The 17,986-nt window shown below is 36.9% G+C and overlaps 1 protein-coding gene across 20 annotated transcripts in view; it reads left to right on the forward strand.

Annotated features, from left to right (window-relative positions):
- GPHN (gephyrin) overlaps window positions 1-17,986 on the forward strand; it is a 1,227,209-nt gene that overhangs the window by 354,278 nt on the left and 854,945 nt on the right. For all 20 annotated transcript variants that reach the window (XM_047430879.1, XM_011536340.4, XM_017020913.3 and 17 more), the window contains one exon: window positions 17,515-17,609. In XM_047430879.1, the coding sequence (XP_047286835.1) occupies window positions 17,515-17,609 (95 nt within the window). The remainder of the gene's footprint in view (window positions 1-17,514; window positions 17,610-17,986) is intronic.

Consider the following 17,986-nt stretch of genomic DNA (forward strand, 5'->3'; position numbering starts at 1 on the left):
AATCTTACTCAAAGTATTCCGAAATACAAGGAGGAGGGAATACTTCCAAACTCATTCTATGAGACCAGTGTTACCCTGATACCAAAATCAGGCCAAGACATGTAAGAAAGAAAAGAAAAGAAAATTACAGGCCAATATCTCTGATGAATATTGATACAAAAATCCTCAACAAAATACTAGCAACCCAAATTCAACAGTACATTAAGATCATTCTCATAACCAAAAGGGATTCTTGGCAAGCGTACAAGGATGGTTCAACCTACATCATACATCCTATCAACAGAATGAAGGACAAAAACTATATGATCATTTTACTTGATGCTGAAAAATCATTTGCTAAAATTCAAACTTGCTGCATGATAAAAATCCTCAAAAAAACTGGGTGTAGAAGGAACATCCTTCAACATAATAAGAGCTATATGCAGCAGACCCACATCTGGTATCATAGTGAAATGGGAAAAACTGAAAGCATTTCCTCTAAGATCTGCAACATGACAAAGATGCCTACTGTCAGCACTATTATTCAGCGTACTACTGGAAGTCCCAGCTACAGCAGTCAGAGAAGAGAAAGATATAAAGGGCATCCACATTGGAAAGGAAGAAGTCAAATTATTCTTGTTTTCAGATGATATGATATTATATCTAGAAAAAAACTAAAGACTCCACCAAACAACTATTAGAACTGAGAAGCAAATTCAGTAAAGTGGCAGGTTACAAAATCAACATACAAAAATCAGTAGCATTTCTATATGCCAACAGTGAACAATCTGAAAAAGAAAAAAAAAAAAGTCCCATTTACAATAGCCACAGAGAAAATTAAATACCTAGGAATTAACTTAAAGAAGTAAAAGATCTCTATAATGAAAACTGTAAAACTGATGAAAGAAATTGCAGAGGACACCAAAAACTGGAAAGTTATTCCATGTTCATGGGTTGGAAAAATTAATATTGTTAAAATGTTCATACTACCCAAAGCAATCTACAGATTCAATGCAATCCCTATCAAAACACCAATGACATTCTTCACAGAAAGAGAAAAAAAATCATAAAATTTATCAGGAACCGCAAAAGACCCAGAATAACCAAAGCTATCCTAAGCAAAAAGAACAAAACTGGAGGAATCATATTACCTGACTTCAAAGTATATTATAGAGCTATAGTAGCTAATACAGCATGGTACTGGCATAAAAACAGACACATAGACCAATGGAACAGAATAGAGAATCTAAAAATAAATTTATACACCTACAGTGAACTCATTTTTGACAAAGATGTCAAGAACATGCACTCAGGAAAAGACAGTCTCTTCAACAAATGGTGCTGGGAAAACTGAATATTTATATGCAGAAGAATGAAACTAGACCCCTATCTCTTGCCATACAAAAATCAAATCACAGTAGATTAAAAACTTAAATCTAAGACCTCAAAACTGTGAAACCATTACATGAAAACATTGAGGAAACTCTCCTGGATATTGGTCTGTGCAAAAATTTCTTGAGTAATATCTCATAAGCACAAGCAACCAAAGCAAAAATGGACAAATGGGATTACAAATTTAAAAGCTTCTGCAGAGCAAAGGAACAATCAACAAAATGAAGAGAGAACCCACAGAATAGGAGAAAATATTTGCAAACTACCCACCTGACGAGGGATTAATAACCAGAATATGTAAGAAGCTCAAACAACTCTATAGGAAAAAGATCTAATAATCCAATTAAAAATGGGCAAAAGATCTGAATAGACATTTCTCAAAAGAAGATGTACAAATGGCAAACAGGACTATGAAAAGATACTCAGCATCATTGATTATCAGAGAACTACAAATCAAAACCACAATGAGATATCATTTCACCCCAATTAAATGGCTTTTATCCGAAAGACAGGGCATAACAAATACTGGTGAGGACTAGAGAAAAGGGAACCCTTGTACACCATTGGTAGGAATGTTAAGTTAGTACAACCACCATGGAGAACAGTTTGGAGGTTTCTTGGAAAACTAAAAATGGAGCTACCATATGATCCAGCATTCCCACTGCTGGTTATGTACCCAAAAGAATGGAAATCAAGGCCAGGTGCGGTGGCTCATGCCTGTAATCCCAGCACTTTGGGAGGCCAAGACAGGCAGATCACCTGAGGTCAGGAGTTCAAGACCATTCTGGCCAACATGGTAAAACCCTGTTTCTACTAAAAATATAAAAATTAACCGGGCATGGTGGCACATGCTTGGAATCCCAGTTACTCGGGAGGCTGAGACAGGAGAATCACTGAAACCCAGCGGGTGGAGATTGCAGTGAGCCGAGACTGTGCCACTGCACTCAAGTCTGGGCAACAGAGCGAGACTCTGTCTCAAAAAAAAAAAGTGGAACTCAGTATTTCCAAGGAATATCTGCACTCCCATGTTTCTGGCAGCACTGTTCACAATAGCCAAGGTGTGGAATCAACCTAAGTGTCCATCAGCAGATGAATGGATAAAGAAAATGTACATCTACACAATGGAATTCTATTTGGCCATATAAAGAATAAGAACCTGTTATTTCCAACAACATGGATGAAACTGGAGGTCATTATGTTTGTGAAGCCAGGCACAGAAAGACAAACTTCACATGTTCTCACTCATTTGTGTGAGCTAAAAATGAAAACAACTGAACGCATGGAGATATATAGTAGAAGGATGATTACCAGCTGAGGATGGTAGTGGGGAAGTAAGGGGACTAAGTATAAAAAGTAGTTAGAAAAAAATGAGTAAAACCTGGTATTGGATAGCACAACAGGATGACTGTAGTCAATAATAATTTAATTATATATTTTTAAATAAAAAATATAATTGGATTGACTAACACAAAGGATAAATGCTTGAGGGGATGGATATTCCATATACCATGATGTGATTATTATGCATTGCATGCCTTTATCAGAGTGTCTCATGTACTTCCCAAATTTATGCAGTACCTACTGCATACCCAGGAAAATTAAAAATTTTTCAAATTTTTTAAACTAAATTATTCAAAGAAGATTACAAAAAGTCTGATAGTCTCTGGGCAATTTGTGTTAATACAAAAAAAATTAAAACCAGGAAAGAAAACCCTGAGAGATCAGGAGATAACATACTCTTCATAGAGATATGAAGCATTTCTTTGTTTTCTGTGCTTTCTTAGAAGCAAACCTGATTAGGTACAGAAGAAGCCTATATATGTCCTTATTACAGTGTTGAGTAAAATGTCAGTTTCCATCTATCGCATTTATTGTTCCTGATTTGAATACCCTCTTCTCTTGGATACTTAATTTTTATTCTGTGAAAAGAAATGGAAGAGAGGATCTGAGTTTAGGTTATTCATAATCATCTCAATATAAAATAGTATTGCCTGCTTACAAAATCTTTCAAGTTTATTTTGGAAGCCTAAATTTTTAAATAATTTTTGTTGATTAATTCTTAAGTTTGGCTTGGCTCTTTTATTACCTGAGACACTCTTAAGTGTATAACTTTGAAAGCATAACATTGAACATCAAGGTAGCATCAAAGGAGGAAATGTATAAATGTGCAGTCTCAGTAGTGTTTTTACGTATGTGTGTGTTAGTGGGGGTAGTCATTTCTACCCATTCTGACCAGGTAATTAAGTGTGGTTGGTGCCAGTAGATACAACCAGTTTCTTCTACCCCACTCCCACCAGCTGCCCTAATAAAGTCACTTTTCAGTTGCCTGTTGTCCAAACCTGAAAAACAATCCCAATCCTAGGGTGTATAGTATTATTAACTATAGTCACCATATTATGCATTAGATTTCCTGAACTTTTTTCCTCCATATCTACATATCAACTTCTGAAGAACAGGAATGAGTAACTCTTTTTTTTAACGTAGGTTGAAAGACATACCTAGCCAATATTCTACCATTAACGAATACATACATATTCCATATATAAAAATGTTAACAATCCATAGGAATATCAATATTCTTTCATCTTTTCCTGGAATGAGATACAAAGTAGTACTGTTTATATAAGTGGAATATGAAGATACGTATTCTCATGAAAATCTCTTATAAAAAGTGATTTGTTCACCTGAGTGCCCAAGTTTTATGGTTAGATAATTTAATTATCAGATTAATGTTTAGATAAAAGTTATTGAAAAATAATATGTAAAGAGAAAAGTTGTGATGCTAACGAGTGTTCACTGCTATGTACTTGAGTTGGTTCTTGAACAGGGGTTGGGATCTAAATGTTAGCAAATACAGTGAGATTTTTCATAGTTAAAGTGAAAAAAACTTGAAAATCTTTCAAATACATATTAATCTCAGTAAGCCAAACAACCAGTTTTTACCCCAGCATTGAAATAAATTCTTTGGTTGAATTAGGTAAATTGGTTGGCATGCTTTATAAAGAGGAATAATTACCTTTAAACATTAGAACCTTAGCTGGCACAGCAATTCATTAACCATTGGAACTGAGGTAAACTGTGAAAACTACCAACTCAGACACCATTTCATGCTCACTGCAAAGTATATGTTCATTGAATGGAATGGAAAACAAAATGCCTGCAGTATGTAAATTTGTACTCTTTTCTTCCTGTGTCCTTCCTACCATGGTACTGTCTCCTTTGACCTTTCATCACAACCAGATCTTATTTAAATATTGTACAATTTGAACTGAAAAAAAAAATGGAGCATCTTCTCTTCACATGAAACGTTATCTGCTTCTTCCAGGAATTGAAGAAGATGTAAATATTTAAGAATATTAAAACCCCAAGAAAAGATGTTCATTAGCAATAAGATAATATCTCTCAAGTAAAAGTGAGATGCCTTTTACAATTACCTTGATTTCCAGATTGCATCTTCTCTGTGTAGCAGTAGTCTTTGACCATTTGGTTGTATTATTATAAGTTGATGTGGTTATGATTGTTTGAAAGTTGTTTGTAACTAAAATAAAAATAAAATCTGTAAATGAATGGTTTTAATTAATTAGACTAAATTCGAGACTGCTTTTACAATAATGTGACTCTTACTTCCGTTCTGCTCTGTTTCTTGAATGAGAAAAAAATAGATTTATAACAAGTACTCCTTGAACATCCTTGGGAGTTTGTCGTGGATGTAACTTTTATCCACTACATGATGTCCCAAGAAAAATATTTTAAGGATACCTACTCTGTACCATAGAATACTTATAGGAGCAGCCTCAGAATTGTTAGTTTATTATAACCCTTTTTAAAAATGTAAAATGAAATTAATGTGTTTGTCCTTTAATAAGCAGAAGTCAGGAAAATGTAACTGGCTGGCATTAAACTGCCTATTTTTACCTAATTTATCTCCTCACTAAATCTATATTCTGTTCTGATGAAGGATTCTCACATTTATGTCAGTCTACAAAGTTGAACATAAAGTGATTATAAAGATAAGACCAAATGGTACATATTGTCATTAATCTACATCATTCCTTCCATCAGCAGTATGTTTTTCAAAGTATGGTCTTCTGACCAGCATCAGAAGCGTCACCTGGAAACTTGATAGAAATGTAAATTTTCACCTGGAAACTTGTTAGAAATGTAAATTTTGAGGCACCTAGACATTCTGAATCAGAATCTCTGGAAGTGGGGCCCAGCAATCTGTATTTTAACAAGGCTTCTAGAAGATTCTGATGCACACTAAAGTTTGAGAAACACTGCTCTAACTACATCTCACTTTGATAACTTAACAAAGTTATTATTAATAGTAGTCATTAGCTGGTATTTCAAAGATAGTCTTTGTTATTTATTTAAGATTATTTAATCAGCAGAGGGCACTGCAGTAATTGTTAAGGAGGAAATTTTATTAAATCTACCTAATCAGGTTACAAGCACATGAGTACTAATATATAAATTTGTCTGCTCTGTTAATAAAATCATGTCTATAAAAATAAGTGAAAGCACTATACTAAGTGATTTTTCACAGAGTCACTATGCATGTAAAGTATTTCTGCACATTTAGATATATCTATTATATGTTCTTTACGGGTTTTTTTAAGACAGAGTCTCACTCTGTTGCCCAGACTGGAGTTCAATGGCACGATTTCGGCTCACTGCAGCCTCTGCAACCCGGGTTCAAGCGATTCTCCTACCTCAGGCTCTTGAGTAGCTGGAACTACAGGGGCATGCCACCACGCCGGGCTAATTTTTGTATTTTTAGTAGAGACAGGGTTTCACCATGTTGGCCAGGCTGGTCTCAAACTCCTGACCTCAAGTGATCCGCCCACCTTGGCTTCCCAAGGTGCTGGAATTACAGGCATGAGCCACCATGCCCAACCATATGTTCTGTACATTTTTAAACATCATTGTCTGTTAGCAATATCTTTTTTAAGGTCATTTTTCCTATGAAGTTAAAATATGAACAATTTCATCAACAAGATACCTGAATTACTGAATCATTGTTTTTGACACTGTTTTTACAGCTTAGCAGTCTTTGAAGCGTCTTTCTGACTTTAATGTTGTCCTCAAAGTATCAAGAAAAAAAAAGGAAAAGATCACAATTATGTGATTTTTCACAGAAGTTTGCAACTTTCATATTGGAAAAATATTTAGACGTCAAAGATAAATATTTTATTTAAAAAGAATAGCTAAGTCCAATTAAACCTTTATATTTTAGACCGACTAGTTCAGAAATACTGATACCTGAAGTAAGACTATAAATTTCTACCATCTTTCAAGGAATAAAAGAATCTGGTAATCAAATTAATAATGTATAAGAGGGAAACAGAACTTTAAGCTAGTTAAGGAAAAAATGGTTTCAAGCTTTTAATGGCATCTTTTTGCCATTGATAATGAACAGTCTGTTAATAATGAATACTTGTGTTATCTATTCATTAACAGATACAGATAACCTTTATTTGTCTGTATTGTACTAGCATATGTGATTGAAAGTGATAAAGCTACATTCTTCAAACCATTCTTCTGTTCAGATTTTCTAATAAACAGGTATCTTTCTCTTGTTATATTTGTAATTAAGTTTTATTCTCTTATTCTTTGTTTTCTAGTTGCATCTCCCCATTTATAGTTTACAGGTCTTTGTACTCAGCTCTTGCTCTCTTGTCCATCTTCCAGTCCCCATCTCATTCGCTGCCTGCTCCCTAGTTTAGATCCCTAATTTCAGTATTCTACTTCCTACGTGGCATTTGCCAGTGCTCTTGCATCTGGGTTCTTGCTCTCCATTCTCTTTTTCCTAGTCTTTGGTTCTCTACTACTCTTTGCAGGTAGTTTCTGGATTTTTGTATTATTTCTGTTCTCTAACTGATATGTGCAGAACTGCAAGGATGTAAGAAGAATTGGAAAGTAGAAGCATAGAAAGAGCTAACATGTATTGAATACCTATTCTATGCTAAGTGATTTATCATTTAGTTCTCAGAGCCCTCTTATAAGATGTAGGTATGTTTTATTATTACCTCCATTATATTCATAAGTACTCTGGAAACTTAGGTTAAATATTTTATTCTAATTCACATAGCAAAACTACATAGTAAAGCCAAGTTTCACATCTAGATTGGTTTATTTATTCCTTCACTTCTTTATTCAACAAATATTTGTTGAGCACATACTATATGTTGGGCTCCGAACTAGATGCTGAAATAGATCCAGCTCCTATTGTTATTGCCCTTAACTGTGTAATGTCATTTTCTGACTTCATAGATGATGATCTTTTACTACACCAAACAGCTTAAGAGGAAGAGAAAATAAAAGGAAAATAGAAGGGTTCTAATGTTTTATGTAAAATGTTTGATACAAACGTGAGAAAGACTGTGTTTGTGCTTGATTTAAGAATACCCTATTGAAAAGAACAGTTTGTATCTAGCATAGAGAGTCTGACATCCACCTACCCCAACCAACTCACCACCATCAGCATCAATGCCTTTCAGTGGCATCACCATGATATATTTTTTCTTTTATGTTCTAAAACATATAAGGTTTGTGTCTCTATGCCCAAATTCTTCAGAAGATCTTCAGAAAGAATTAACTGTCCTGCCTGAATTATGTTTAGAGAAAGATGAAGAACTTTGTAAAGAATACAGTCAGCCCTGCAGAACCCCTAACTACTGTATTTTCGATCCTCAGTTGATTGAATCCACAGATGTTGAACCAGCAATATGGAGAGCAACTGTACCTACACTGTGATCCATCCATCTATATATTTTTATACCCTGAAAAATATTTTAGATGGCTTACCCAAATACATAAATACAACAGAATTTTTAAAAATATAAATGTGAAGAGTAGGACAGAGAAAAATCAGATGAAACTAAAGTTGTGTTCAGTAAGCCTACTGAAAGGTATTCACAAATTTGTTCTCAAGGATAACTTGATTCACAAGCATTGTAATTTAAAAACAAACTGGTAACATAGAAAAGTATCCATTCCTAGTTATGATACTTGAAAGGAAATTTCTCCTGTAGGTCCTCCTAAAGACCACAGTGTAATACGGTGAACAATTCAGATGCTTCCTAATGTAAATAAGAGTTTGAGCCATTTTATTGATTCTGATTTCATACCACAGAAGCAAAGCCCAATAAACCAATTCTATAAAAAGTGAAATGAGGCATTCAAAGTAGATCACTCTCCAGTGGTCTGGCAAAATCCAGTGGTATGTTTTAGAGGATTTAGAAAAATTAATGAACCACATCTCTTTTAGGCAATTCTCACGTATCATTTGTCAATTGAGTTTTTCATGTGCTGGGTGACAGTGAGCTTACACGCTCTCTGAGGTTTGTTCTACTCACTACTGTAACATCAATACCTCAGATACTACCTAGTACATAGTAGATGCTTAATAAATATTCGTTATTTAAATGGATAAATGTTGTGCTTTGAAGTATCAATTTTAAGTGAAATACTCCCTTTCAGCTATCTGTTGATATTTCCCTTCATGTCCCTGAATAAAGTGTGCTACTATACTTTGGGATATATCATCTTTATGTGAAGCCCCGAATTCATGAAATGTCAACCATTGCTTATATAACTTTTTCAAGCAAGTAATGAAATAAATATTAACACTATCCAAGAAGTTCCTTTAATATTGTTAACAGTGACATCCCCTTGCTTGATGTTTAGGGCTCTGATTTTAACATCCTTGAGAAGGTGTTAACCTCCATAAAGCAATTTATAACATAGAAGTAGTGTTTCGTCTTGGTAAGTCTCAAAATCATAACAGATAGATTGGCTTTGGAAAATAAGTAATAAAGATTGGATAATGACATGGATGAAGCTGGAAGCCATCATTCTCAGCAAACTAACACAGGAACAGAAAATCAAACACTGCATGTTCTCACTCATAACTGGGAGTTGAACAATGAGAACACATGGACACAGGGAGGAAAACAACACACACTGGGGCCTGTCGGCGGGGTGAGGGGGAAGGGGAGGGAGGGTATTGGGACAAATACCTAATACATGCAGAGCTTAAAACCTAGATGACGGGTTGACAGGTGCAGCAAACCACCATTGCACATATACCTATGTAACAAACCTGCACATTCTGCACATGTATACCGGAGCTTAAAGTAAAATTTAAAAAAAAATTTAAATACGTAAAAAAAGATGGGATAATGCCAGCAAAGTCCTTACGTTTTTGTTAGTTTTTCTTTAAAATGTCTCCCATTGTTAAATATCCTGTTATGCTAGGATTCACTGTACCAGTAAATTGCATCAATTCTGCTAATCCTGTATTCTGTATAATTGGAAGGGATTAACTAATTTATATGCGTTCTAAACTTTATTTATAACATCAATTAGCATCTAATACATACCTGATGCATTTTAACTGCTTTTGCCCAGAGCTACAATCTTATTGAAGAGTAGCATTCTACTTTCAAAGAAATATTGAAATATAAACCTTTCTCTCTATACCTTCATAATTTACTTTTTGTTTGCCTTTCTACTTATTTACTGTAATACTTCATTTTGCAAACTTTATTTTTGTATTGCTTCCAACTATTATAACTTGCTTAATTTTTGGAAACAGAGGACTGGAAATGGATTAAGTCATGTATTTCACCCTCAAGTTTTAGCCTAAAATGTATCTTGACCATTATACAGTAAAATATATACCTATTTTGATTGACCCTTCAAAAATGAAATTTTCTTGTCTTTAGGAAAATTTAGGAGACTTTAGGAAAATGAAATTTTCCTTTCATTAGTGTATTCCAGATTTAACTGTACTTATCTTAAGAATGCCGTATCCTCCAGGCATGGTGGCTTATGCCTGTAATCCCAGTACTTTGGGAGGATGAGGTGGGCAGATCACCCTGAGGTCAGGAGTTCGAGACCAGCTTGGCCAACATGGTGAAACCCCATCTCTACTAAAAGTACAAAATTAGCCAGGCATGGTGGTGCGCACCTGTAATCACAGCTACTCGGAAGGCTGAGGTAGGAGAAACACTTGAACCCGGGAGACGGAGTTTGCAGTAAGCCGAGATCGTGCCACTGCACTCCAGGCAAAAAGAGCAAAACTTTGTCCCAAAAAAAAAAAAAAAAGGGTGCCCTATCCTAAAACTCCTAGTATATAGGTAAACCCCTTCACATCATTAATTTTTTATTTAAAAAAGACGGTTGGGCAAGATGGCCAAATAGGAACAGCTCCAGTCTGCAACGCCCAGCAAGATCAACGCAGTAGGCAGGTGATTGCTGCATTTTCAACTAGGTACACGGCTCATATCGTTGGGACTGGTTAGACAGTGGGTGCAGCCCATGGAGGGTGAGCTGAAGCAGGGTGAGGCATTGCCTCACACAGGAAGCACTAGGGATCAGGGAAGTCCCTCCCCTTGCCAAGGGAAGCCATGAGGAACTGTGCATTCCGGCCCAGATACTATGCTTTTCCCACAGTCTTTGCAAACCGCAGACCAGGAGATTCCCTCGGGTGCCCACACCACCAGGACCCTGGGTTTGAAGCACAAAACTGGGAGGCCATTTGGGCAGACACCAAGCTAGCTGCAAGAGTTTTTTTTCATAACCCAGTGGCGCCTGGAATGCCAGTGAGACAAACTGTTAACTCCCCTGGAAAGGGGGCTGAAGCCAGGGAGCAAATTGGTCTAACTCAGCAGATCCCACCCACACAGAACCCAGCAAGCTAAGATCCACTGGTGTGAAATTCTCATTGCCAGCACAGCAGTCTGAAGTCGACCTGGGGCACTCCAGCTTGGTGTGGGGAGGGGGCGTCCACCATTACTGACGCTTGAGTGGGCAGTTTTCCCCTCACAGCATAAACAAAGCAGCTGGAAGTTCGGACTGGACAGAGCCCACCACAGTGTGGCAAAGCTGCTGTAGCCAGACTGCCTCTCTAGATTCCTTCTCTCTGGGCAGGACATCTCTGAAAGACAGGAGCCCCAGGCAGGGGCTTATAGATAAAACTCCCATCTCCCTGGGACAGAGCACCTGTGGGAAGGGGCGGATGTGGGCGCATACTTAAACTTAGTTCCTTCCTGCCAGCTCCTAAGAGAGCAGCAGATCTCCCAGCACAGGGCTCAAGCTCTGCTAAGGGACAGACTGCATCCTCAAGTGGGTCCCTGACCCCCATGCCTCCTGACTAGGAAACACCTCCCAGCAGGGGTTGACAGACATGTCATACAGGAGAGCTCTGGCTGGCATCAGGTGAATGCCGCTCTGGGACGAAGCTTCCAGAGGAAGGAATTGGCAGCAATCTTTGCTGTTCTGCAGCCTTTGCTAGTGATACCCAGGAAAACAGGGTCTAGAGTGGACATCCAGCAAACTCCAGCAGACCTGCAGCAGAGAGGCCTGACTGTTAGAAGGAAAACTAATGAACAGAGAGGAATAGCATCAACATCAACAAAAAGGATTTCCACACAGAAACCCCATCCAAAGGTCACCAACATCAAAGAGCAAAGGTAGATAAATCCACAAAGATGACCAAAAAACAGCACAAGAAGGCTGAAAATTCCAAAAACCAGAACACATCTTCTCTTCCAAAGGATCACAACTCCTCGCCAGCAAGGTATCAAAACTGGAGGGAGAATGAGTTTGACAAATTGACAGAAGTAGGCTTCAGAAGGTGGGTAATAAAAAACTCCTCCGAGCTAAAGGAGCATGTTCTAACCCAATGAAAGGAAGCTAAGAACCTTGAAAAAAGGTTAGAGGAATTGGTAACTAGAATAACCAGTTTAGAGAAGAACATAAATGACCTGATGTAGCTGAGAAACACAACACGAAAACTTCATGAAGCATACACAAGTATCAATAGCCGAATCAATCAAGCCAAAGAAAGAATTTCAGAGATTGAAGATCAAATTAATGAAATAAAGCATGAAGACAAGATTAAAGAAAAAAGAATGAAAAGGAATGAACAGAGCCTCCAAGAAATATGGGACTGTGTGAAAAGACCAAACCTACTTCTGATTGCTGTACTTGAAAGTGACAGGGAGAACAGAACCAAGTTGGAAAACACTCTTCAGGGTATTATCCAAGAGAACTTCCCCAACGTAGCAAGACAGGCCAGCATTCAAATTCAGGAAATACAAAGAACACCACAAAGATACTCTTTGAGGAGAGCAACCCCAAGACACATAATCATCAGATTCACCAACGTTGGAATGAAGGAATAAATGGTAAGGGCAGCCAGAGAGAAAGGTCAGGTTACCCACAAGGAAGCCCATCAAGCTAATGGCAGATCTCTCGGCAGAAACCCAACAAGCCAGAAGAGAGTGGGTGGCCAATATTCAACATTCTTAAAGAAAAGAATTTTCAACTCAGAATTTCATATCTGGCCAAACTAAGCTTCATAAACAAAGGAGAAGTAAAATCCTTTACAGACAAGCAAATGCTGAGACAATTTGTCATCACCAGGCCTGCCTTACAAGAGCTCCTGAAGGAAGCACTGAATATTGGAAGGAACAACTGGTACCAGCTACTGCAAAAACATAGCTAATTGTAAAGACCATCGACACTGTGAAGAAACTGCATCAACTAAGGGGCAAAATAACCAGCTAGCATCATGATGACAGGATCAAATTCACACATAACAATGTTAACCTTAAATGTAAATGGGCTAAATGCCCCCAATTAAAAGACAGACTGGCAAATTGGATAAAGAATCAAGACCCATTGATGTGCTGTATTCAGGAGACTGATCTCACGTGCAAAGACACACATAGGCTCAAAATAAAGGGATGGAGGAATATTTAGCAAGCAAATGGAAAGCAAAAAAAAGCAGGGGTTGCAATCCTAGTCTCTGATAAAACAGACTTTAAACCAACAAAGATCAAAAAAGACAAAGAAGGGCATTACATAATGGTAAAGGGATCAACGCAACAAGAAGAGCTAACCTAAATATATATGCACCCAATACAGGAGCACCCAGATTCATAAATCAAGTTCTTAGAGACCTGCAAAGAGACTTAGACTCCCACACAATAATAGTGGGAGACTTTAACACCCCACTGTCAATGTTAGACAGATCAACGAGACAGAAAATTAACAAGGATATTTAGGACTTACACTCAGCTCTGGACCAAGCAGACCTAATAGACATCTACAGAACTCTCCACCCCAAATCAACAGAATGTACATTCTTCTGAGCACCACATCACACGTATTCTAAAATTGAGAACATAATTGGAAGTAAAACATTCCTCAGCAAATGCAAAAGAACTGAAATCATAACAGTCTCTCAGACCACAGTGCAATCAAATTAGAACTCAGGATTAAGAAAATCACCCAAAACCGCACAATTATATGGAAACTGAAAAACCTGCTCCTGAATAACTACTGGGTAAATAACAAAATTAAGGCAGAAATAAATAAGTTCTTTGAAACCAATGAGAACAAAGACACAATAAACCAGAATCTCTGGGACACAGCTAAAGCACTCTTTACAGGGAAATTCATAGCACTAAATGCCCACAGGGGAAAATGGGAAAGATCTAAAATCAACACCCTAATATCACAATTAAAAGAACTAGAGAAGCAAGAGCAAACAAATTCAAAAGCTAGCAGAAGACGAGAAATAACTAAAATCAGAGTAAAACTGAAGGAGATAGAGACACAAAAAACCTTCAAAAAATCAGTGAATCCAAGAGCTGGTTTTTTGAAAAGATTAACAAAAGAGATAGAACACTAGCCAGACTAATGAAGAAAAGAGTGAAGAATTAAATAGATACAATACAAAATGATAAATGGGATATCACACTGATCCCACCAAAATACAAACTACCATCAGTGAATACTATAAATACCTCTATGCAAATAAACTAGAAAATCTAGAAGAAATTGTTAAATTCCTGGACACATACACCCCCCCAAGACTAAACCAGGAAGAAGTCAAATCCCTGACTAGACCAATAACAAGTTCTGAAGTTGAGGCAGTAATTAATAGCATACCAACCAAAAAAAGCCCAGAACCAGACAGATTCACAGCTGAATTCTACCAGAAGTACAAACAGGAGCTGGTACCATTTGTTCTGAAACTATTCCAAACAACAGAAAAAGAGGGAATCCTCCTTAACTTACTCTACGAGGCCAGCATCATCCTGATACCGAAACCTGAGAGAGACACAACAAAAAAAATTTCAGGCCAATATCCCCGAGGAACATGGATGCATAAATCCTCAATAAAATACTAAACCAAATCCAGCAGCACATCAAAAAGCTTATACACCACAATCAAGTCAGCTTCATCCCTGGGATGCAAGGCTGGTTCACATATGCAAATCAGTAAACATAATCCTCACATAAACTGAACCAATGACAAAAAACACATCATTATCTCAACAGATACAGAAAAGTCCTCCGATAAAATTCAGCGGCACTTCATGCTAAAAACTCTCAATAAACTAGGTATTGATGGAACGTATCTCAAAATAATAAGAGCTATTTATGACAAGCCCACAGCCAATATCATACTGATTGGGCAAAAGCTGGAAGCATTCTCTTTGAAAACTGGCACTAGACAAGGATGCCCTCTCTCACCATTCCTATTCAACATAGTATTGGAAGTTCTGGCCAGAGCAATCAGGCAAGAGAAAGAAATAAAGGGTATTCAAATAAGAAGAGAGGAAGTCAAATTGTCTGTTTGCAGATGACATGATTGTATATTTTGAAAACCCCATTGTCTCAGCCCAAAATCTCCTTAAGCTGGTAAGAAACTTCAGCAAAGTCTCAGGATACAAAATCAATGCACAAAAATCACAAGAATTCTTATACAACAATAATAGACCAACAGAGAGCCAAATCATGAGTGAACTCCCATTCACAATTGCTACAAAGAGAATAAAATGCCTAGAATATGACTAACAAGGGATGTGAAGGACCTCTTCAAGGAGAACTACAAACCACTGCTCAAGGAAATAAGAGAGGACACAAATGGAAAAACATTCCATGCTCATGGATAGGAAGAATCAATATTGTGAAAATGGCCATACTGCCCAAAGGAATTTATAGATTCAATGCTATCCCCATCAAGCTACCACTGACTTTCTTCACAGAATCAGAAAAAAACTACTTTAATATGGAACCAAAAAGAGCCCTTGTAGCCAAGACAATCCTAAGCAAAAAGAACAAAGCTGGAGGCATCACACTACCTGACTTCAAACTATACTACAAGGCTGCAGTAACCAAAACAGCATGGTACTAGTACCAAAACAGATATATAGACCAATGGAACAGAACAGAGGCCTCAGAAATAACACCACACATCTACAACCATTTTTTCTTTGATAAACCTGATAAAAACAAGCAATGGGGAAAGAATTTTCTATTTAATAAATGGTATTGGGAAAACTGGCTAGCCATATGCAGAAAACTGAAACTGGATCCCTTCCTTACACCTTATACAAAAATTAACTCAAGATGAATTAAAGACTTACATGTAAGACCTAAAACTATAAAAACCCTAGAAGAAAACAGGCAATACCATTCAAACATGGGCAAAGACTTCATGACTAAAACACAAAAAGCAATTGCAACAAAAGCCAAAATTGACAAACGGGATCTAATTAAACTAAAGAGCTTCTGCACAGCAAAAGAAATGATTATCAGAGTGAACAGACAACCTACAGAATGGGAGAAAATTTTTGCAATGTCTCTGTCTGACAAAGGGCTAATATACAGAATCTATAAAGAACTTAAACAAATTTACAAGAAAAAAACAACGCCATCAAAAAGTGGGCAAAGGATATGAACAGACACTTCTCAAAACGAAGACAGTTATGCAGCCAACAAACATATGTAAAAAAGCTAAGGGTCACTGGTCATTAGAAAAATGCAAGTCAAAAACCACAATGAGATACCATCTCATGCCAATTAGAATGGTGATCATTAAAATGTCAGGAAACCATAGATGCTGGATAGGGATGTGGAAAAATAGGAATGCTTTTATACTGTTGGTGGGAGTGTAAATTAATTCAACCATTGTGGAAGACAGTGTGGCGATTCCTCAAGGATCTAGACCCAGAAATACCATTTGACCCATTACTGGGTATATACCCAAAATATTATATATCGTCCTATTCTAAAGACACATGCACACATATGTTTATTGCAGCAATATTCACAATAGCGAAGACTTGGAACCAACCCAAATGTCCATCAGTTATAGACTAGATAAAGAAAATTTGGCACATATACACCATGGAATGCTATGCAGCCATAAAAAAGGATGAGTTTATGTCCTTTGCAGGGACATGGATGAAGCTGGAAACCATGATTCTCAGCAAACTAACACAGGAACAGAAAACCAAACACTACATGTTCTCACTCATAAGTGGGATTTGAACAATGAGAACACATGGACACACAGAGGGAAACATCACACACCAGGGCCTGTCAGGGGATGGAGGGTTAGGGGAGAGATGGCATTAGGAGAAATACCTAATATAGACGGGTTGATGGGTGCAGCAAACCACCATGCCATGTGTACGCCTATGTAACAAACCTGCACGTTCTGCACATGTACCCCAGAACTGAAAGTATATTAAAAAAAAAAAAAGTGGAGAAATCTGAAAAAAAAAAGACAGTTAATTTACACTAAAGATTAGGAAGATGGTAAATGTAGAATTTTTCCTCTAGCCAGTACATGGGGAAACCTGACATGATGACTTCTTGAGATCCTTTTAATTCTATTATAAAAGCATAGAGCTAGGAGAGATATGGATTATCTCAGGTTTTCAGAGACTAATTATTTCAAGAGTAATAGACAAAGGAAAATACCCAGATTACTTACCTGGTGAGAAATCTACTAAGTTGTTATAGCAATCTGAGGCCACATTTTTAGAATTTAAGTTATTAGTGAGATGAGATTTCTATCAAATACTTCTGAGCTATAAGCAATATGAAAGGACTGCTAATATAAAAATTTTCTTTATTTTCTTGGTCCTCAGCTTTTATTCAGTGGTCCTTGTGAATTGAGTCTGGATGCCTCAAAAAGATAAATGTTTCAGAAACTAAAAGTATGGTTATTGAAAGCCTGGTTTATAATCATTTTTAAGTGGGTTTTACTAGTCTGACTTCATTCTTTTTTGGCTTATTTCACTCAGTCTGCTATTTAATCTTTAATTACAGGCCACAAAAGAAGTAATAGAACGGGAAGCACCAGGGATGGCCCTGGCAATGCTGATGGGATCACTTAATGTTACACCTCTGGGCATGCTCTCTAGGTAAGAAAGTCACCAACATGTTGCAAACCATTTGCTAGGTGAACTGTTTCCGTGATATTAAAAAAAATCTACACTTTGGCATTGTTGTGAATATTAAATGAGCTAGTCCACATAAAGTTCTTAGCTTATACTAATCACTTAATAAATATTACCTACTATCATTGTTAAAAAAAAAAGTTAATTCCATACCACTAATCAATACACTATATTGATGAACCTAAGAAACTTTAGTCTTAACACTTAAGTTTGCCCCTTTTTTTTCCAGAGTTAAGAGCTTTAGTATTCTGTCAGCCACAATTTTCCCACTTCACTTCTTTTTGTTGTTGTTGTTGTTGTTGTTGTTGTTGCTTGTTAAGTTAAACTTTCAGAGACTGTCA

This window comes from Homo sapiens, chromosome 14, assembly GCF_000001405.40.
Source record: "Homo sapiens chromosome 14, GRCh38.p14 Primary Assembly".
NCBI lineage: Eukaryota > Metazoa > Chordata > Mammalia > Primates > Hominidae > Homo > Homo sapiens.